This window comes from Homo sapiens, chromosome 15 (genome assembly GCF_000001405.40).
Source record: "Homo sapiens chromosome 15, GRCh38.p14 Primary Assembly".
NCBI classification, from domain to species: domain Eukaryota; kingdom Metazoa; phylum Chordata; class Mammalia; order Primates; family Hominidae; genus Homo; species Homo sapiens.
Window position 1 is genome coordinate 29,906,884 of NC_000015.10, and position 23,803 is coordinate 29,930,686.

At 40.9% G+C, this 23,803-nt stretch overlaps 1 protein-coding gene across 11 annotated transcripts in view, besides 2 other annotated features; it reads right to left on the reverse strand.

The window, feature by feature from the left end:
* TJP1 (tight junction protein 1) overlaps positions 1–23,803 on the reverse strand; it is a 269,683-nt gene that overhangs the window by 207,517 nt on the left and 38,363 nt on the right. The gene's annotated exons all lie outside the window — the stretch shown is intronic.
* Positions 16,871–17,420: an enhancer, noted in NCBI's record as "H3K27ac hESC enhancer chr15:30215957-30216506 (GRCh37/hg19 assembly coordinates)". NCBI's record gives its function as "activates a minimal SCP1, AML or CMV promoter by ChIP-STARR-seq in naive H9 embryonic stem cells {active_cell/tissue: H9 hESC(naive)}" and the evidence as "EXISTENCE:reporter gene assay evidence [ECO:0000049][PMID:30033119]".
* Positions 19,003–19,297: a silencer, noted in NCBI's record as "tiled region #13292; HepG2 Repressive DNase unmatched - State 8:EnhW". NCBI's record gives its function as "represses a minimal TATA promoter and a strong SV40 promoter by Sharpr-MPRA in HepG2 cells {active_cell/tissue: HepG2}" and the evidence as "EXISTENCE:reporter gene assay evidence [ECO:0000049][PMID:27701403]".

Sequence of the window (23,803 nt, forward strand, 5' to 3'; positions counted from 1 at the left end):
AAAAGTATTTGATGATAAGGTTATTCAAGACATGTGATGTACTATTAACTGGAAAAAGCAGAATATAAAAATATAAACTACAGTATGATTCTAATTTTGTTTTTAAAAAGTATATGGTAGCAAAATATTATCTAACAATTGGTGAATCTGGATGAAAAGGTACATAGGAGTTCATTATATTATTCTTGCTACTTGTGTGTAGGTTTGAAACTTTTTCAAAATAAAAAGTAAAAGAATTGAAAAAGGCCAGGTACGGTGGCTCATGCCTGTAATCCCAGCACTTTGGGAGGTCGGGGCAGGCAGATCATGAGGTCAGGAGATCGAGACCATCCTGGCTAACACAGTGAAACCCCATCTCCACTAAAAATACAAAAACTTAGCCAGGGGTGGTGGCGGGCGCCTGTAGCCCCAGCTACTCGGGAAGCTGAGGCAGGAGAATGGAGTGAACCTGGGAGGTGGAGCTTGTAGTGAGCCGAGATCGCACCACTGCACTCCAGCCTGGGTGACAGAGCGAGACTCCATCTCAAAAAAACAAAAAAGAATTGAAAAGAAGTGGTACATACATGTATTCATATGCCATTAGACAAGGCATAGAAAACACTACACTATTAATACTGGTTATCTCTGAGCGATGAGATTATGCACAATTTCGGAGGTTTGTGTGATTTCTTATATTCGCCAACATTTCTACAATAAACATGTTTGTAATCAGGAACATAGAGTTAATGTCATTTAAAAGCAATAACAAATGCAAGGGTCTAAGAAACCTAAGAACATTAATTTGAAAAATAACAAACCTCTTCAACTAAGCTATCAATGCCACCTGCTTTGTTGTTTTAACTTACCCATCACATTCATGTTCATGGCCTTTGTAACCTCTTCCATTCCTCCCAGCTTCCCCCAGGTTCCCGCGACCTCTTTTTCTTTTGCCTGGCAACCTGTCTCCCTATGCAGAGATGTTGAACACCGCCTAATTCCTTTGCTTGCATAACAAAGTTCCTCAGAATTTTCAACCACAAGTTCTTCCATTCCTCTTATCATTTTCTGCTCTTTAGAAAAACAAAGTGAGAACAACAGTGCTCTTGGAAACTAAAAATATGGACAGAGAGGGGAAAAACACCGATAGAAATTTGGAAGATAAAGTTGAGAAATTACCTTATAAAGCAAAAAAAAAAAAAAAAAAAAAAAAAAAAAAAAAAAAAGAAGAAGAAGAAGGAAAGATAAAGAGGGAGGAGACAGGAGATAAAAGGTCCAACATGAGAAGAAGAAAATGTTTCCCAAATTTCGAAGGACATTTTCTATTTTGAAAGGGCCTACTCAGCAAGTACCCATCACAACGAATTTAAAAAGACCTATTCCATGGACATCAGAACACCAGGGATAAAGAGAAGAGCCTAAAAGCTTCCAAAGAGACAGAAGACTTGAGAAAGTGTAAAGGACTGGGATATCAGAATAGCACTGGATTTAGTGATAACACTGGGAACTAGAAACAATTAATGATGCCTACAAAATTAGAAGAACAAATTTCCAACCTAGAATGCTATACTCAACCAAGCTATCAAGTGGGCAGGTGATATAAAGACATTCTCAGTCATTGTACCTCCCTTGACACTACAGTAGCCACCACTGATGTCCACCCCTGCAGCCACCCTCATTCTTCCTTGCTAACAAATTCAAATTTTATTCTGATATTAAGTGGCCATCTGTTTTGAAGGTGGGGCACCAGTCCCAAGAGGGTGAATTTATTAGCAGACGCCAGTTATGGCAATTCCAATCCCTTTGATACGACCTGAGATGTGAAGTTGGCTAGGAGGTTTTGAGAAAATAATCTCCTGGCTTTTAAAAAGAGGCTCGGCCGGGCACAGCAGCTCATGCCTGTAATCCCAGCACTCTGGGAGGCCAAGGTGGGCAGAACACCTGAGGTCAGGAATTCAAGACCAGCCTGGCCAACATGGTGAAACCCCATCCCTACTAAATATAGAAAAATTAGGCCGGGCGCGGTGGCTCACGCCTGTAGTCCCAGCACTTTGGGAGGCCAAGGCGGGCGGATCACGAGATCAGGAGATCGAGAACATCCCGGCTAACACGGTGAAACCCCGTCTCTACCAAAAATACAAAAAAAAATTATCCGGGTGTGGTGGTGGGCGCCTGTAGTCCCAGCTACTCAGGAGGCTGAGGCAGGAGAATGGCATGAACCCAGGAGGCGGAGCTTGCAGTGAGCCAAGATTGCGCCACTGCACTCCAGCCTGGGGAACAGAGGGAGACTCCATCTCAAAAAAAAAAAAAAAGAAAAGAAAAAGAAAAATTAGCTGGGCGTGGTGGTGCACACTTGTAGTCCCAGCTACTTGGGAGGCTAAGGCAGGAGAATCGCTTGAACCCAGGAGGCAGAGGTTGCAGTGAGTGGAGATCAGGACACTGCACTCCAGCCTGGGCGACAGAGCATGACTTCATCTCCAAAAAAAAAAAAAAAAAAAGAGGCTCACCAGAGAAAATGGTTCATTTTTAAACTTCCAGCTATTGTGGTCTGCATATGACACCAGAGACATGGCAGCTACCTTGCAGCTATCCCATGAAGACAAACCCTCACCTTAAAGAATTGAAAGTTGGCTCAAAGAAGGAGTTGAAAGTTGGAAAGAACCTAAGTCCTTGGAAATATTACCAAGCCTACCCTGTAGCCAGCCCTAACACCAGACTTATGAGTCAAAACGAAGTTCACTTTCTTGATGCCCAAGTCCTGAGTCCTCAGCACCTACAGGAGAAAGACTGGTTTCCCACTGTGCAAAGACCTGCTGCAGCCCTTAGGGTACTGCTCCCTGGAAACCCCAATTCTCATACCATGCTCACACAGGATTTTGAGGTGAGCGGGGCATCCTACCCACCAAGCAGAATGTCTTTATGCACTCGGGCCAAGCTGGAGTCTGCAGATTAGAACCTGGGTCTCTGAAGAATAGGGTAGCTAAACCCTTCCAGGACTTCACATGGAACCCATCCATCAGTTAAGTTGTTGGAGGCAGAGGTGGGAAACCAACTTAGCTTTTAATTTTAATTATTCTTTAAGTCTTCATCACTTATCTCAGTCTAAGCAGAGTTTCTAGGCTGATCCAGATTTATGCTCCACAGAGGACTGCGTATCTGCATTGAAATCAGAAAACACTCTAAAAGGCAACGTGATATTTGTTTATTTGTACTATTAAAAACCACAGGAGAAAATACCTTATCTGGAAAAATAGTTTGAACTTTTACTCACCTCCTCAAATCTAAATTGATATCTAACACCCATTTTCCTTGCAAAACAATAGCCGGCAGTAGAAACAGAACGTTTATACTAAGAAATGTTACAGAAACCTGAGAAGAAATAAATACAGTACTTATTTTCTATGTACACTCACTTTCTCCTTTAACATCAAAGTGTGTTTATATTTTTAAACACTAAAGTGGAAAGAGTGATTTTATTAGGTTCACTCCACCCAAGTTCATTGCTACAATACCTGACTCTCTGCCAAGGTGCTTAGCCTATCGCTAGGAAGTCCTAAACACAGGCCTGTTTTTAAACACTTTCACCACTCCCTTAGCCTTTCCACTTTGAAAATATTGTCTGGTATCATGTTTACTTCTACATTTTAAACACTGTTTATATGTAGAAGTGTATTTTAATTATTGTCAGCGATTAATACTATTCTTACTATCTGAATGTAGATTATTCTATATTTCATTAAAGTTGAAAGTAATTATATTTGTGGTTTAGCTCTAACAACTGCACTAATAATACTAGTGATAAAAATGCACTCATAAATCAGTTTGTATAATTATTGATATGCATAATGACTAACAAAATTGCTTCCCCAATAACTCTAATGATATGAGAGTAATCACCTCCTCTCCTAAAAATAACACGCTACAAGCACAGAGAAGTCCCAACTTATACACGGATTCTGCATTGTCAATTATATGTGATGGGGTAAACTAAAAGAGAGTGACAGATTATCTGAGGTGGAATTAAATGATCAATGAGCCCTGAAAGACAGGGAGAGGAGAACATACACCTGCATGGTAAGAGTACATCAACGGGTGCCCCTCTAACACTCACTAGCTGATACTTTTAGCTCCAGATAACTCTGTTGCTTTCAGACCACTGGAGGCAGTAAGCTGTACTATGATGATCTTAGGGAGAGCAGATGCAAATAAATAATATGCTAAAGATTCAGTCACCTTATTCCTCTACAATACATTTACCTGCATTGGTATCTCTCATGAAACCTACTCAAATGCAGTCATGTCAGCAGTTGCCCACTGCAGCTGAGGTGGTCCCAATGCTTCAGGCTCAGAGCTGGCATACAGCACACCAGATCTGCTCAGTCTCAGAACTTAACTCCAAAACCCAGAGGCTGACAGAGCTGAGTTGCTGTTTCTAGAATGACTATCTCAAGAACCGGGCAAGGCATAATGGAACCCATTAGTAAATTCAGCAGAAGAAGGAAGAGGCAGGAAAATAAGAAGGGGGAATGTACTAGTCTGTCTTCATGTTTCTATAAAAAACTACCTGAGACTGGGTAATTTATAAAGAAAACAGGTTTAATTGGCTCATGGTTCCATGGGCTGTACAGGAAGCATGGCTGAGGAGGTCTCAGGAAATTTACAATCATGGTGGAAGGCAAAGGGGAAGCATGCACATCTTCACATGGCCAGCAGGAGAGAGCAAAGGGGGAGGTGCTACACACTTTTAAACAACCAGATCTTGTGAGAACTCACTGTCACGAGAACAGCAAGGGGGAAATCCACCCCTATGATCCAATTACCTCCCACCAGGTCCCTCCTCCAACACTGTGGATTATAATTTGACTTGAGATTTGGATGGGGAAACAGAGCCAAACCATATCACGGAAGTTCAGTCTCATAATGAAAGCAAATCTCATAATTATTTTTGTTAAGCATGCATTCCTCTGTTGACTCAACTAAGACTCAGGCTCTGGGAACTTAAAATGCACCAGGCTTTATCTATGTTAGGAGTTATGGGGATATAGAAAAATAAGGCATGATTTGGATTCTTGGGGAGTTCGCAATCCAATGAGGAGAAAGATGAGTGTCTTAGTCACCTGGGCTGCTATAACAAGATACCACAGACTGGGTGGCTTTAACAAATATTTATTTCTCACAGCTCTGGAGGCTGGGAAGTCCAACATTACAGCTCTGGCAGATCTAATGCCTGGAGAGGCCCGCTTCCTGCTTTGTAGATGGCTTTTTGCTGTGCCTCACATGGTGGAGAGAGAAAAGAAAGGCACTGGTCCCCTTCTTCATATGAGGGCACTAAGCCCATTCATGAAGGCTCTACTCTCACGGCCTAATCACCTCCCAAAGGTCCTACCGCCTAATACCATGGCACCGGGGAGTTAGGATTTCAACATATGAATTTTTAACACAAATAGGCAGTCCATAACCACAAGAAAACAACTATTTAGTTTTGAATCAAATATTAGGTAGAACCACACAAAATTATGTTAATTGTAGTGAAAAACAGAAATATTTGTAGTCAAAGAGGTAGCTTGGGGCCGGGCGTGGTGGCTCACGCCTGTAATCCCAGCACTTTGGAAAGCCAAGACAGGCGGATCACAAGGTCAGGAGTTTGAGACCAGCCTGGCCAACATAGTGAAACCATGTCTCTACTAAAATACAAAAAGTAGCCGATGTGGTAGTGCATGCCTGTAATCCTAGCTACTCAGGAGGCTGAGGCAGAAGTTACGGGAGGAAGAGGTTACAGTGAGCTGAGATCATGCCACTGCACTCCAGCCTGGGAGACAGAGCAAGACTCTGTCTCAAAAAAAAAAAAAAAAAAAAAAAAAAAAGAGGGAGCTTGGAAAAAATATTCTGGGAGGTGATGGAACTGTTCTGAATTTTGATTGTGGTGGTTACATAACTTATTGCACTTATCAAAACTCTCAGAAACTGTACACCAAATAGAGTGAATGCTACCGTATGTAAATTTAAAAATAAGTTTTAAAAGCAGCTGAATATCAGTAATTTCATACGGTTTAACTTAGTAGATGCGCCAGCTCAGGCAGACAGTTCTGCAGGATTGCAGGAAGCAGAGACGAGCAGAGATTAATAGAGGAGTGATAGTCTCATGAACAACAACCATTTCATCAGAGCCTTGAAAAAATAAAGCCCTCAACAGTGAAGAAAAGAAGGGCAAGAAGGTAAATATCCTAGAGACAAGGACAGCACAAGCAGTCAAAAAGTTCTACAAACTCACAGCAGGTGTGGAGAATAGCAAATAGAGCAGTAGATAGTTCATGAAAGCAGGGGGATCACAAAAAAAAAAGGGGGTAGAATACGGAGGACTTAAAAGACCAGATTAAATACACTAGAATTTATTCTACAGTCAATGGCAAGTTAGTAAAGTGTTTAGACAAAGGACTGACATGACTAAATCTATTTTGGAAAGATAACCTTGATAAAAATATGGAGGATTTGTTGGTTGTGGGAGGTATCAGAGGCAGGAGAATGACCTACAAGGGTTTCTTAATTGGGGTCTGTGAATTTCTTAAAATGGTTGCAATATTGTGTATGTGCACACACATTTGTACATACACACATCTTTTTCTAGAAGGGGGTCTATGGTTTTCATTAGCTACTGAAGGAGTTCATAACCTCCAAAGGGTTAAGAACTTTAAGAACTGTATTGTTCAAGTGCATCAAGATGCAGCAGGAGTTAAGTTTGCAGTGAGCAGAATAAATTCAGAGACACTTATGAAGATCGCATTTCTGGACTTAAAAATAACTAGTGAGTGAGAGTGAGAGAGGGAGGATCTAAAGATGACAACAAAGTTTCTAGCTTGCTGACCTGGGAAGTGTTGAGGGAGAGGAAGGGAGAGGGAGGAAAAGGGGTATCATTACACTAAGAACAAAAAAATGATTTCACTTCAAAGAACTGAATATTTAACCTCTGCACTTGTGTCACTCTTAGCTGGAGATTTTCTTCTATTTTTATGGGCCAAAGTATTTCTGGCTAAAGAGAGAGATAAGATGTACTACAGAGGACCGTACTTGCATATGAAAATAAAAAGCAGATGAGAAAACAATCTTCAAAGCCTTTCTCAGAGTGAGTTCGCTCTCCGGAGGCTTGCTTTCCACATTCTCATGGCATTAGGAAACCTCAGGGGGATGGTATCTGCCTCTGTCACACAAGGGAATGAATGTAACATATAGTATTGGAATAAGCTGAAGATAGCCATCCAAACAGTATTAATATGTTTTAAACGTACAAAACATTTCATATGACTTGAGGATTTTTGTAAGTTAGAAATTCGACTCACTAGCATGGATTACACCTTAAATAAATATAGTTTCTTCCCTGGTGTTTTCATACATCATGGAGCAAATTTATATTTATTTGGTAAACATTTGCTTATTAAATAAACGTTTGCCTGAAGTTGAAAGGGGATGCTATATAGAGCTCCCCTAATTGCTCTGTTAGCTCATTTGACCTCCAGAGGCCCTGGGATCCAAAGAGCTGCACCCCCACCTCAGGAAGCCTGGAGAAAGCCAGGCAGCAGCAGGACAGTGAGATTTTGTTCAACAAATCTGTATTCATAGCCAGATACTATAATGGGGGTTGGAAAATACAAAGATGTGAGGGGCTCTCAGCTTGTCTGTAATGAAGTGATCAGGGCAGGGCAAGAGTGTCAGATTCAGTCATGTAGGAGCAGCCCTGTGCAGAAAGAACCCCACGGCCAGGGAGGGAGGCTCCAGGGAACATATGGCTGTCACCATATGGGAGTCGAGAGGGCTGAGAAGACAGACCTCCGGGGAGAGTATCTGAGGCTTCCTAAATGCTCATACCTCAATTTATAGCAGAGTGCTGTCACCTGAATTCCACTCACACTGCTCTGCTGGGTCTCCTCACTAAAGCAAGCACACCCACTGAGAACTACGGCACGCTTGGGCCATCTGGCCCCTCTCCCACACCCTGCAACACACACACATACACACACACACACGCACGCACACACATGCATGCACACACAGGCACACACTCACCAACTGAGGTCTGTGAACAATACAACCTCAGTCAGTTGCACTGTTTCATTTGTACATATTACCGTAACCAACAAATGACTGCAAAAAAACTGTTGTTCAATGAATACTCTGGAAATGCATGATGGAGGTAGACTGCTAAAAAAAATGCTGCCAAATCAGGTGTGAAAGACATTATCTGTAAAAAGGAGGAAGGAAAATTGTTAAAAAGAAATCTACCAGATTTCCAGGTGTCCTTAAGTCCTTCCAACTGTAATACGGCTGTGGTTAACAGAAAAACAAAGATGTGGAATAAGGCAGATCCATATTAAAAGAAATAGCCTGGGACTTCTGTCAAATAACTGGTGAGTAAATGTGCATTTCTGTGTATGTAATTAAAATAAAATGTTTAAGGAATATATGGATCATTTTTTTTGAGATTCTGTTTACTGGCCAACTACTATAAGAATTAACCAAAAACCTAATGATTCCCCAATTCCTCTTCTACATAAATTTAACAACCTCCCACTGTCAGCCAACATCACTCCCATTACCAGTTAAACTCCCTTCCAACTGGAAAATCATTGCTCTGTTACTGGTCTTTATCAAAGATGATTTCCAAACCATACAATCTCATTTACTGTGATGTAGATTTAGCTTTACTTGTTAAAAAGGATTTTATACTAAGATTTAAACCTTAACCATTGCCAAATCTTCCTTCAGTTTGCCCAGTAAGATTTCATACAACCTAGAAAAGAATTTAGAGCCTGAATAAATATATGAAGTGCTCTAGCAAAGCACTTTCTTAGTGTTTGTCATCAATTATATTCCAGTTGCAAAATTTTAGATATTGAAGATCATTTCAAAAAACTTTTAAAATTAAAATTTGAATGCAAAGTATGTAGCTACTTTCTTTGTTTTGGTATATGGCAATGTAAGATACTAGAGAGTAAAACATTCAAGTTGTAACTACTGAAATTAAATTTGATAAGAAACTTGTCCTTTTATTGAATAATTACTTTATTCATGTTTTTTGAAAAATGTATTCAGTTGGAGGAGCTGTCCTCTTTTTAAAACTGATGCTTTAAAATCCACGTTATAAAAACATTACTAGGCCAAGGCGGGCGGATCACCTGAGGTCAGGATTTTCAGACCAGCCTGGCCAACATGGTGAAACCCCGCCTCTACAAAAAATACAAAAATTAGCCGGGCGTGGTGGCAGGCACCTGTAATCCCAGTTACTCGGGAGGCTGAGGCAGCAAAATCACCTGAACTCGGGAGGTGGAGGTTGCAGTGAGATTGCGCCACTGTACTCCAGCCTGTGCGACAAGAGCAAGACTCTGTCTCAAAAAAAAAAAAAAAAAAAGATCATAGCTCTTTCTTCAGTGTCTTAAAATATCAATATATTAGTATATAATATATCTCTAGCATTTTTGTAAGGTCTCAGAAGCCCTATGAAATGCTCTGGGTTGGCACTTGATCTTTACACACAGGATTCAACATAACAGAGCAACTTGAGAAGACAGAACTGGATTTCCTGAATGGGTAATGAGCTCCTTTACATTTAATTCACTGGAGGCTAACATCATCCTTAATTAAAAAAGAAAAAAAAAGGTACTATTAAAATTACATTTACTTCCTACAATAGAAAGCCAAAATGGAAACTACCAGAGCTTCATGAATTTTAAAGCCCTACGCAAACGTTGTTGCACAAACACAATTTCCTCTAGTCCTAGAAGTTTTGCTCAAGTTGTATTAGCTCCATACAACCTGACCTACTTGTTCTAAAATATTTGGTTGCAATTCAAAGATGGGATTCTTTCTTATGGATCCCACATTTATAGAGCAAATGTACCTAAATGTTAATATATGTTCATCATAAATTAGATTAAAAACTAACTCAAGTTAATTTTAGTATGTCATTATACAGTATTAACTAAACAATTAGGATAAACCACTACAAAACAGTGAGCTGTGACATCATAGAGCCATTTCCTTTCAAGCCCTACCCTTAATCCACTCTTCCACCTGCCAATACACACACATGCACGTGTGCACATACGCACACAGAACCCCCCCTCCACCACCACCTTTCATGGTGTATTTTTCAACCCCTTTAGAGAATTGACAAGGATAGAAGACATTTAAGATTAAGGTCCATAAAGTATTCATTATTGTTGTTTTCTGCTTTCTTTAAGAACTGTCTCGTCCTATCAGGACACACAGCTATGCTAGCTCAGCTGTAAACAAAAGGATACGACCTTGAAGGTGTCTATAGCTCACTGGTTTTAGATGCCGACTCCACATCTTCATCACAGCTCCTAGGTGGTGGCTGCACTGATGTGTACAATAAGATAAACTGAATCGCTAGCTGAAATAAGCATTTTGAATTTTCATTTGTATGTGAGTGGATTCAAAAGATTAAAGTGCTATATCCATAATTACATGCTCACTACTATTAAAAATACCTAAGCTAACTTCTAATTAAAAGGGTGGATAGTACATGTGTATTACCTCCTCTCCCTCCTGAACCCCTGCCAAAAACAATATATAAGGCCACAAAGAAGAAAAGATCCAAGTGAACAAGAGATGCAACACTTTTCAGAAGATGGAAAATGAATACAGAAGTAGTTATAGGATGAGAAATAGCAGAGGCTACAGAGGGGAAGACCACACAGAAACAAATTTGCTCTGCAACCCAGGCTCCAGGCTTAGGGGAGCAGGACCCAACCACAAAGGGAATAGTAGGGTGGGTGTAGGGCTGAGAACAGGGGAGTGAATGAATGCCAGCATATGCAACACTTGGATCCCCAGATCCTGCACAGACACTTTCTCCCCTGACCTGCAGAGACAGTTTCTCCCAGGAAAAGAGCTGGCTTGCTCAAGAGCTTCCAATTTGCTTCCTAGTGACTCACTGGGTTTTCTGGTGGTAAAATACACATAACATAAAATTTACCATGTTAGCCATTTTAAAATAAACAGTTCAGCGACATTAAGTATACTCACATTGTTGTGCAACCGTCACCCCCATCCATCTCTGGGACTTTTTCATCTTCCCAAACTGAAACTCTGTACTTATCAAACACTAACTCCTCACTCCCTCTTTCCCCCAAACCCCTGCCATTCTACTTTCTTCTCTATGACTCTGTCTACTGTAGGTACCTCATGTAAGAAGAATCATCCAGTATTTGTCCTTTTATGACTGACTCACTTCACGCAGCATAATGTCCTCAAGGTCCATCCATGTTGTAGCATGTGTTAGAGTTTCCTTCCTTTTTAAAGCTGAATACCACTCTATAGTATGAATATACCACATTTTATTTATCCATTCATCCATCAGTGGGCACCTGGGTTGCTTCCACCTTTTGGCTATTGCGAATATCGCCGCTATGAAATTGGGTGTACAAATACATCTTTATATCCCTGCTTTCTAGTGATTCACTCTTACATGTGAACAGATAACTAAGGATCAGAGGACTTTTTAGGAAAACTTCCCAACGTTAAAGACAGAAACCAAAATAAATAAGGAGGAAGGGCTCTTGAAAATTAAAATGGTATAGGCCAGGAGCAGTGACTCACGCCTGTAATCCGAGTACTGTGGGGGACCAAGGCGGGTGGGTTGTTTGAGCTCAGGAGTCCCAGACCAGCCTGGGCAATGTGGCGAAACCCCATCATTACAAAAAATTACAAAAAAATTAGCCAGGTGTGGCGGCACATGCCTGTAGTTCCAGCTACTCGGGAGGCTGAGATGGGAGGATCACCTAAGCCTGGGGAGGTCGAGGCTGCAGTAAGCTGAGATTGTGCCACTGCACTCCTGCCTGGGTGACAGAGTGAGAACATATCTCAAAAAAAAAAAGTATAAATAAAAAAGGTTAGATGGGTTGGAAAATAAAGTCATAGAACTTTCCCAGCAAATAGCGTAAAAAGAGAGATCAAACATAGTAGAGAAAAGATAATAATCAATGAAGATGGTCCAACAGCAAATTTATAGGATTTCTAGAGAGAAGAAAGGTGTTTATCAAATAAACTACGGGAGATATTTCCTCCCAAAACGATATTGGTATCCACATTCAAAGGGCCTTCCAAGAGGCTTGCAAAGATGAAAATAGACCATACAAGGCACATCGTGGTGAAATGTCACCATGCCGGGAATAAAGACGCTAAAACCTTCCAGAGCAAAAAGCAGGTCATGCAAAGGTTTGGGACACAGAATAGTATCAAAGGTCTCAATAGCAACATTCAGATGCTAGAGTAGAACAATGTTTTTCAAATTCAGAGAACAATACCTTTTAAGCTAGAATTCTGTACCTAAGCAAATCATGAATCAAAAAAGAGGCAAACAAGGTCTCCATCAGAGGAGAGGAGCAGAAAAGTCCCAGGAACAGGGGCAGCAGGCCCAGAGGGCATTAGGTTGGTGGGCACAAGGGCACAGGAGATGAAAGCTTCTGGCCTCACACTATGGGTCTGTAGCTTTGTTTCTGATTGATTCATGCAGTCATACAACAGTGTTTTTTGTCTATTATGTATCAGGCACTCTTCCCTTCTAAGTGCTGGGAACAGAGGTGAAAAAAACAAAAGTTCCTGTCCTGGTGCAGTTTTCATTCTAAGGCGGGAGAGGGACGATAAACAAATATACCTTGTTAGGTAATGTCCTATGAGGAAAATAAGCAGGGAAAAGGGATAGGGTGTAACCAGGTGGAGTGCTAGACTGGAAAGACCAGAGGTGACCTTGGAGACCTGAGTGCAGTGAGGGAGAGAGCCCTGGGCATTTTGGGGGTCTGGAGAGAGAGCTCTTAGGCAGAGGGACTTCAGGACCAGCTGCCCTCATCAGCCTGGCCTCCTGACAGGCATTCTCCAATGGACAAGATTTTCTCTTGCTCCCAGCCTGTTCATTTCTTCTGGACCCTCTGGGAAACAACTCTGCCTGGAGGCAGATGGCAGGGCTAAGCAGCCCCAATTACCACATGGCTGGGGCCCTATTGGGCCAGTCCTCTTTCCCCTTCCCAGTGGGGGAGATGACACAAGACTCTGCAAGAGAGATGGGACCCCAGAAGACAGAAAGGATGCAAGTGGTTGAGTGCTAAGGTGGTAAGTCCAGGCCCTGAAGCCATCTAGGCAGACACAACATCTGACACTTACACTGCTCTTTCTGTGCATTTTCACAAGCAAGAGAGGCAGAACAGGTACCACCATCATGCACAGATGCCGAAACTGGGGCACTGCCAGGTAAGGAACCTGCCCAGGGTCACAGAGCCTGTTAGTTACAGTACGAACTCTCACTGGGGCCTGCTTCAGAGACCAGTGCTAGGTCAAAACCAAACGTAAACATGTTTTTCTTGTTACTTTTCATGTTTTCCATACAGGTAAAAATAAAGCCCAAGTTGTAAGTGGTTCATGAGAACAGAAGATCTTTTTATTTAGCATTTCACAAAATATAAGGCTACTCCTCTTGAGACTTCACCTTGAGCTGTAATTTTCTAGCTACCCATGGGTCAGAGACAGGCACTAGAACTTGGTTAGACTTACTCCACCTCAGATTAGGAGCAATTACCGTTTGGGAAAAGAAAAGCAAACTGAAGGATGGAACAGTCTACCTAGAAGATGTTTCAATGATCGGATAACTAGCATTATGACTAGTTCCCCGCCAGAATATGCCGCCTCAGCCTTCCCTTCCAAACGCTGCAATCTCCTTTCCGTTACCTATCTTCGGGGTTGCAGTTTTGTTCTAAGAGCAGAGGAGCATTTGCATCTGCGGGGCGAAGGTGCTGAGTGGGAGGAGCGGCCACTGCATGCCCACAGAGGAAGCTGCTGTGACAGCCCTGCTGCTCCTGCTGAGCAAGGGAACTAGAGTGGCCCAGTCTCCACCTGGGTCTGGCTCCGTTCCCGAAGCTGATTCAGGAATTGAGTCATCATTCGCAACCTGAAGTCAAGGAACATCTTAATTAGATTTAAAACACTGTATTTCAATAATATCTAACAGTTTAAAAATACCCCCACATTTAACCCTCAGCATTCCTGCGTGAGGGAAACACAGTGGTGCCTGCAATTTACTTGAAATGAGTAAAACATGTGAAATGGACAGATGGATGGATCGGCAGATACGTGATAAAACAAAGTAAAAGAATAAAGGTAGAATTCAGGTATTGGATATATGAGCGTTCCCTGTAAAATTCTTTCAGCTTTGTTGTAGTTTTGAAATCTTCATAATAAAATGTCAGGGAGAGTGGGAGGGAGGGACTCTCCCATCATCCTGGATTATTTCAATATCCATGTGAATGATTAATTCAACAACCCAGCCTCAAGCTTCCTGGCCCTCTGAATGCCGGCACTCTCCCGTCACCTCCTGGACCTTACCTCACTTAAAACAGTCCTGCCTTGATCTTAAACTATCTCTTCAGACCAGATTCCTTTCATTCCAGCTCACTGCCTCATAGGTGCTTCCGCTTCAGGAAGGTATCTACACCTAAACCCTCCATTTCCCCGTGACTTCTGGTGCTTCTGTATCCAACAGAGATTTATCAGCCCCCTCAGCACCTTCCCTGCAAACCTGCAGGGCCAGCCACTGTCAGGGAAGAGGAACACAGGGGCAGGAAACAACCTCACAGCCCCTGCCTGCAGCAAGCTCATCTGGAGCTGAGAGTAGGGACGGAGGAGATGTGTGGGCACAGCTCTCACGGGGCTTTGCTGCCATGGTTCCTGTGGGCTTGCCTGTGCTTCTCTCCCCTGCTGGATCCCCTCTTTTCCACCGCTGCATCTTCCCGGATAGCTCAGTTTACTCTCATTTTGATGGATCATATTTTTCAACAGCTTAAACAGTTTTTATTATGAAGTATTTTAAACATAATCAAAAGAAGAGAGAATGGTATAATGAACCCACATATACCCATTCTCAACAGTAACAAGAGTCTGGCATATTTGCTTCATTATCCCATTTTTTTTCTTTTTCTTTCTTTCTTTTTTTTTTCTCCATGACGGAGTTTTGCTCTCGTTGCCCAGGCTGGAGTACAATGGCGCGATCTCGGCTCATTGCAACCTCCGCCTCCTGGGTTCAGGTGATTCTCCTGCCTGAGCCTCCCGAGTAGCTGGGATTACAGGCATGCACCACCCCGCCCAGCTAATTTTTCCATGTTTTTAGTAGAGACGGGGTTTCACCATGTTGATCAGGCCGGTCTCAAACTCCTGACCTTAGATGATCCATCCGCCCTAGGCTCCCAAAGTGTCGGGATTACAGGTGTGAGCCACCGCACCCGGACTTTTTCTTTTCATTCTTTGCTCAAGTATTTTAAAGGAACTCAGACTTCTTCAGTGTGCCTCTCTTAAACTCCAGGCCTGTAATCCCAGCACTTTGGGAGGCTGAGGTGAGAGAACTGCTTGAGTCTAGGAGTTTGAGACCAGCCTGGTCAACATAGTGAGGTCATGTCTCTACAGAAAATTTTTAATCTGTTTTCAAATGTATTTGCAGAGTTGTGCAAATTAAAATATAAGAAATTAATGCAAAGGTCAGCTAAAGTTGCTGTCTATTAATTTGATATTTAGTAGTTTTCATTTGTAAATTAACTAACTCTTAGACTGCAAATAAACATTTTTGTAAAGGGCTATGTTTTTAAGTTTCTAAGAAAATCTTCAGTTAGCAGTTTAGAGTCTTCTAAAATTAAAGTAGAAAGAAATAATTGGTGTGAAAATGCAAGGGTTAGCTGTGTTAGAAAATGTCTAATTGAGGGTTGTAAGTTTCTTCTATCTTGAGAAGAATAAATATTTTGAAGAGTAACATTGAAGGTGGCATGTTTAAAAGAAATTAAATGGTTATTATAAACCACAGGAAAAATAGTAGAAAGGAAATGGTAACAGAACAATCAAAGAAAAGCATAATGGGATAATAAACAGGTTAACAGTGTAATAATGATAATTAACAGTAACAAGATATTGTTAAAATTTTAATTAAACTTAAAGCAGCAGCAGGAAATACTGAAAAATAAAATACTTGGCTACATAAAAATGTACACTTCTACTTACTTCTAACCTTATAAATTCTAAAAGAAAAAACACAAATGGTAAAACACATATGAAAAAACTGTTTAATCTGAACAGTGCAAAAAATGCTAACAATAACACTAATGAACAATTTTTCACACTGCAAATCACCACAGATTAAGAAGACTGACATTTTTAGTGTGATGAAGACAAGTTCCTTCCAGCTTTTGGGAAGGCAGAGTGGCACTCTGTGTCAAAATGTAAACTGACCATACCCCTTCACCCACCAAATCTATTTCTAGAAATTCACCCACAAAAGACAATCACATAAATGTTCAAAGATCTATCTATTGAAGCAGTTTTCAAAAGAGTGAAGATTAGGAAAGACTTATCCACTAATAATGGATAGGGTAAATAAACAGGTACATTCACAAAAATGACTACTGCTACAGTCACTGAAAATGTAAGGATGCTGGAGAAAGTCACATAATAAAGAAAATCAGTGCCACTATAATTCATGATCACTGCTCCCAAATGGGTCCTCAATTCCCTTTCTCTAACCGCAGACTCACAGGCCCTTCTGCTGATGTGATATAAGCTCTCCTATCAGCAATAAACAGGAATGAAGTATTGATACATGCTACAACATGGATGAACCTTAAAAACAGCATGCAAAGTCAAAGACCAGACACAAAGGACCATATATTATATGATTCTATTTACATGGAATATCCCAAATAGGAAAATCTATAAAGACAGTAGATTAGTGGTTGCAGACTTGGGATGGAGGTAGTAGGGGGTGACAGCTGGTAATGAAAATACTCTAAACATGACTGTGGTGATGGATGCATATTCAACTCTATGCATGTAGTAGTATATTCAACTCTGTGAATATAATACAAGCCACTGAATTGTACACTTTAAATGAGTGCATTGTATGGCATTTAAATTCTCTCAATAAAGCTGTTAAAAACCAAAAGCTCTCCCATATGTGGAATGTTTGCGTGACCCCTGCCACCTGAGTACCCTCATGCTTACAGCTAAACATGCCTATGTGTTATTCTAATGTGTGTGAGTTTCACCACTGGCATGCAACAAATCAGCTCTATATTCATTTGTTACTCCACCTTTCTAAAAAGCTATCTGACATATTGACAGTACATAATGACAGCTAAAATTTCTTATCCTTTAATTCAGAGGTGATCTTTTTGAAACCTTTAATAAGGAAATACAAAAACTAAATCTGTCACCCAAACTGGAGTTCAGTGGCACAATCACTGCTCACTTCAGCCTCAACCTCTCTGGGCTCAAATGATCCTCCCACCTCAGTCTCCCAAGTAGCTGAGACTACAGGCACACGCCACCACACCTAGCTAATTTTTGTAGAGACAGGGTTTTGCCATGTTCCTCAGGCTGGTCTCAAAACTCTGAGATGGGCTCAAGTGATCTGCCCATCTCGGCCTCCCAACATGCTGGGATTACACGGATGAGCCACCATGCTCAGCCAATAATTTTTATAATTGGAAAAAACTGCAAAAAATCTAAATGTTTAACAGTAGAAGAATCAATAAACCATAATATGCCCATACAAGAGATAGCAAAAAGACATTAAAATGTTTTCAAAGAATATGAACTATAGAGTGTTCATGATGTATAAGTGAATAAAGCAGAACATAAAAGTGTATATATAATGTGATCCCTTTTATGTATATTATACATTTCTACAACAACATGGATGTGGGAGCACCTACTGCCTTCTCTGAATACCATCCCTTTCCTTGAGAGCCACTGTCTTGGTGTAATGTGACCACACTGCCTAGTCTCAGGAGCAGGGGCTAATCTGGGGATGGGGTGGGCTAATGACAGGCTCTTTCCCAGAAATCTCAGCCATGAGATTCAACTTGGTTGCTCTCCTAAACGGAGATCTTAACCCTAGGGCCGGTTTGCAAGTCGGCTGCAGTTAGCTGTTATCTAAGGAATGCTGGGAATGCTGGTAGGGGCTAGGCCCACGGGGCAGCTCTGACTCCTCCCCATAGTCCCAGTGCTTAAATTCCAAGGTACTTAGCTTTTGCTGAAATGCTGGGGCAGGAAGTCTCCCAGAATGCAGTGGCTGTGAACAGCAAGGCTAATCCCATGGGAATGGTGGCTGTGTCTACCTGTGCCAGCAGTTCCCTGTAGCATCTTCTTGTTGAACCCACTCCAGTCACAGGAAATAATCAGAGAGCTGATTATGCTATGCAAACAACCAGGGGTTGTGGCAGTCTACAATTTCCAACCACTTGTCTAAAGCGTGATTCAGAGGGGCAGCAACCAGTCCTGGTCACCACAAGCTGTTACACTTTCTGCAGGCTGGGTATGCAAAATTTACCTTTCTTTCAGAATATACTGTATAATTTTACTTGGAATTCTTATTCTACTCTCACAGCATGTTCCAGATGTCACACAGCATGAGGAAGCAAGTGCTCTCCAGCCCAGGATCTGATAGCACCCACATCTTTGAGGACTGAGGACAGAGGGCATCAGGAAGCCCTGACAACTCTGGCACATCTGCCACCAGGTGTGTGGTGAGGTCATGAGGGCAGACACTCAGGCGCTACTCCTCTTCTTCTCCTGGTTACTCAAGAAAGCTACTCAGTACTTCCATACCTGAGTTTCCTCATCTTCAAAAGGGAGGTTACACCCTCTAAGCCGTGGCATTCACCAAGAGGCTGGGACATTATTCTTAGAAATACACAAATACACGCACCCTTTTTTCTAGTATGGGCTGTTCTTAAAGGTATGTGTCACACTGAGTCAGCAGGCTCCTGGGTCCATAGGCAGGTCAGCAGTCTCTGACACATTCTCCTTCAGCTCTTCTGACAGGTAGACCTTCCATTTTTACAGCTTTATGGAAGGATATTTCACAGACCATAAAATTCAACACTGAAAGGGTAAAGTTCAACGCTTTTCATTATTGACACAAGCAGATCTTGACTGTCACAGAGAGAAAGATAAAAAACATATTAGCTCCTTTCTCTAGTGGCCTGCATCCTCTGTTCCCTGCCATCTCTTAATCTTTCCCTCCAATAATGTTTGCCTGGGCATCCCCTCTAACCCACAGCCACTTTCAGACCCCTCAGCAGCACCTCCTGGTGGCCAGCAAGCCTTGGAGGGAGGGAGCCGCCAGCTAGTGCAGCAGTTAGCTCACCATGCCAGGACCCACACTCCCCCCAGTGGAATAAGCTCTATGCTCAGACAACAGACTTAATGAAAACCAAAGAAACAAGGATAAAAATGAGGTGAAAGAAATAGAAGTGTTTTTGTGAACTTTTAAAGTACAGTAAATAAGTCTAGAGTTTATAAGCAAAAGCTGATATTTTTTTAAAAGAGCTTTACTGCATAATCTTTATCCTTATTCCCACAAGCAGTCAAAAATCCCACAACCACATGAACCTATCAAATAGTAAAGAAGCATTTGGGAACAAGAGCTAGGCGCAGAAGCTCACACTTGCAATCTTAGCACTTTGGGAGACCGAGGCAGGTGGATCACCTGAGGTCAGGAGTTCAAGACCAGTCTGGCCGACATGGTGAAACCGTCTCTACAAAAAAATGCAACAAATTAACCGGACATAGTGGAGCATGCCTGTAATCTCAGCTACTCGGGAGGCTGAGGCAGGAGAATTGCTTGAACCCGGGAGGTGGAGGATGCAGTGAGCCAAGACTGCGCCATTGCACTCCAGCCTGGGTAACAAGAGCAAAACTCCATTTCAGAAAAAAAAAAAAAAAAGTATTTGGGGACAAGAAATGAATTAATATGTGTGACGGACAATGACTTAATAATACCTAATCTGGTTCTACTTTCTTCATCTTGATTTCTACTTTTGATTGCTTCTTATTGTAAGGAATATTTTCAAGACATATTTTCTGTTTCTCATTTATTTTTCACTGGTCATATTTTCTAATCCTGTCTTCACTTTGGTGTCTTCTCTGGATTTTAGTAGTGAAAATGACTGACACGTTTTGAAATAAATGTTAAAAAGATAAAAAGAAAAACTCTTGCCTGAAAAATTACCCTAGTATTCAAGCTACTTGTGTAAATTACAGAAATTTAAAAAAACTCTAGATAATATAATTATCAGATAGAAGTTCTACAATGAGTACATTTGAAATTATTAAAGACCCAAAGAAATAAAAATCCCAGGGAACAAAAGGTAAATACAAAGCATAGAAAAACATGATAGTGAGGTGGGTGCATCACCTGAGGTCAAGAGTTCAAGACCAGCTTGGCCAACATGGTGAAACCCCATCTGTACTAAAAATACAAAAATTAGCTAGGCGTGGTGGCGCATGCCTGTAATCCCAGCTATTCAGGAGGCTGAGGCAGGAGAATCGTTTGAACCTGGGAGGCAGAGGTTGCAGTGAGCTGAGATCACAGCACTGCACTCCAGCCTGGGTGACAAAGCAAGACTCTGCCTCAAAAAAAGGAAGGAAAGAAAAATATGATAGAAATATATCCAAGTACATCATAAATCACAAGTATAAATAAATAAAATGTGTCCACTTAACTGGATGAAAATTTAGACCATGTAAAAAGAAAAGTAAACCCCACAAAATCCATAGAGACACATGCAGATACACAGAGGTTAAGAGAAAAAGAGGAAAAAATAAATATACTGGAGGAATTTAGATTCTGAGACTGAAGGATGAGATAATTCAGATTAACTCCCCCTCTGAACACAACTGGAAAAAATATAAAGGATATTTTCTTGAAGGCATTATAGAATCAAGAAGATGGTAAAGAATGGCCAAGCCAAGATACTGGAAGAATGGAGGTCTGAGAAGGTGAGCCACGCATATGGGGCCATCTTCCCCTTGGGGCACCTTCTGATTCTGGAGAGCATCGCTGAGCAACAAGGACTCCATCCAGGGCTGAAGGCACATAAATTGGAATCCAAGGCCCCCGAAAGCCAGGGAGCTTGGTTAATTTGGACTGGGATCCTGAAGGGGTACTCTTTAAAAGCAAAGACCAACCAGAAGTTGGCAGGCCCTCATAGGCACTGCAGCTTAGTTCTGAATCATTTCAGTCCTTGAAATCGGACTGATGTTAACCCAGATTGCTACTGCTGCCAAGTGCCCACCAGAAACAAACACAAACCCATCTCGGAGGAGAAATATCTATCATCCTAGACCTCAATTTATTTTTACATTTTTTCAATCTTTAGATAACTCAATCAAAAATAACCAGGCATACAAACAGGCAAGATTATATAGAAAAAAAAAACCACTAGTAGACACCACAAGCAACAGAAACATACCCACAATTGCTCTAGATTTAGAGCAAAAGAACTATGTTTACTATATTCAACAAGATAAAAGATGAGATTGTTTTGGCAGAGAACTGTAAACCAAAAGACGAACCAATAAACATGCAGAGAGGCTCAATATCATTAGTAGTTAGGGAGATGCATATTAAAACTAAAATAAACTACTAGTACATCCCAACTATGATGGTTAAAAATTTTTTTAAGTGACAACGACAAGTGTTGCTAAATATATTGAGTAATTCTCATAAGCTGCTGGTACAACTATAAATTGTTTAAGCCATTTTAGAACTGTTCGGCAATATCTAATAAAACTGAACATATGTGTAACCTATGATGCAGTGACTCTATGGCAAGGTTATACATCCAACAGAAACTCATGCACATCTACATCAAGAGACATAGACAAGATAACTCCTACTCGCAAAATCTGATCACTAGAAGGAAAAATAGATAATCTTACTCTCACAATAGTAGAGTTAAAACACACACTTGTCGGCCGGGCACGGTGGCTCACGCCTGTAATCCCAGCACTTTGGGAGGCCAAGGCGGGCAGATCACGAGGTCAGGAGATCGAGACCATCCTGGCTAACACGGTGAAACCCCGTCTCTACTAAAAATACAAAAATTAGCTGGGCGTGGTGGTGGGCGCCTGTAGTCCCAGCTACTCGGGAGGCTGAGACAGGAGAATGGCGTGAACCCAGGAGGCGGAGCTTGCAGTGAGCCGAGATCTCGCCATTGCACTCCAGCCTGGGCGACAGAATGAGACTCCATCTCAAAAAAAAACCAAAACAAAACACACACACACTTGTCTCAATAAACTAATTGATCAAGTAGAGAGAAGCTGAATAACAACCAATAAACCCAATCTAAAGGAAATATGTAGATCCAACTAGAGAACCCATTATTTTCAACTCCACAGTCATTAAAGAAAAAGAAAAAATGCAAATTTCAACAATGATCAAAGAATCTTTATCATACAATTTACATTATTTAAACCCAATAAAATCAGAAATCAAGGACAAAAAAAAATCTTGGAAATTTATGGACACAGTTTTAAAAAATCATAGGTCAGAGATGAAACCATAAAGGATATTAGGAAATACTTACAACTTTAATGACAATGAAAGCACTAACTATTGAAATATATGGGATTCAGCTAAACCACTACTTAGAGAGAAATGTAGAGTTTTACGTGTGTATTAGAAAAGAAGAAAGCCTGAAAACCAATAATTTAAATGTATGACTCGGGCTGAGTGCTGTGGCTCAGGCCTGTAGTCCCAGCTCTTTGGGAGGCCGGGGGAAGTGGATGACATGAGGTCAGAAGTTTGATACCAGCCTGGCCAACACGGCAAAACCCCATGTCTACTAAAAATACAAAAGTTAGCTGGGTGTGGCGGTGAATGTCTGTAATTCTAGCTACTCAGGAGGCTGAGGCAGAAGAATCACTTGAACCAGGGAGGTGGCGGTTGCAGTGAGCTAAGATGGCGCCACTGCACTCCAGCCTGGGTGACAGGGCGAAACTCTGTCTCAAAATAAAATTAAAAATAAATAAATAAATAAATGTATGACTCAAGAAGTCAGAAAAAGAACAAGAGTATAAGATAACAGGGGCAGAAATTAATGAAACTTGAAACAAAAAAAAAATCCTGATTTTTAAAACAGCAGCAAAACTGAAAGCTGCCTTTTTGAAAAGACTACAGGAAAATAGAGAAGGCATAAATAGGAATGAAAAAATGATTACAACTACAGATACAGCTGACATTTTTGAAAAAGAATACTATGAACAACTTTATGCAATACAACTGAAAATTTAGGGAAAAGTGGACAATTCCAAAAATAAGTAACATTAAAATTCAGTCAAGAAGAAATGTAAAACTTGAACAAACCTACTAAAGAAATTGATCCAGTAGTTAAAAACCTATTCCCTCAAAATAAACTAAAAATAAACAAATAAAACCCTGGACACCTGCCCTAGATGGTATTATCAGCAAATCATATCAAACATTCAAAATGCAGATAATCTCTATTTACACAGACTATTACAGATGACAGAAAAAGAAATTATTCCCAACTCATATAATGAAGCTAAGAAAACCCAAAAACCAAGCCAAACAAGTACAGCATGAACATCTCACTTACTAACAGATTTTAAAAACCTAAATAAAATGTTAGAAAATACAATTTTACAAAATCTTAGGCAACACCATTGTCAAGTACAAGTTATCCAAGTAACACAAAACAATATCATACTAGAAAATACTTTAGTATGATTATTTAATTCATCACATTGACAGACTAAAGGAGAAAAACTGCATTATCATCTTAACAGGTACAGGAAAATCACTCTTTAAAATTCAACACTCATTCCTGATACAAACACCTGGCAAACCAAGACCAACAGAGGATTTCTCTAACCTGATAAAGACTACCTACAAAAACATACAGCAAATATCATACTTACTGATGAGACATTAGAAGCAGTCCCTTTAAAATCTGGACTAAGATAAGGGTGCCCACTA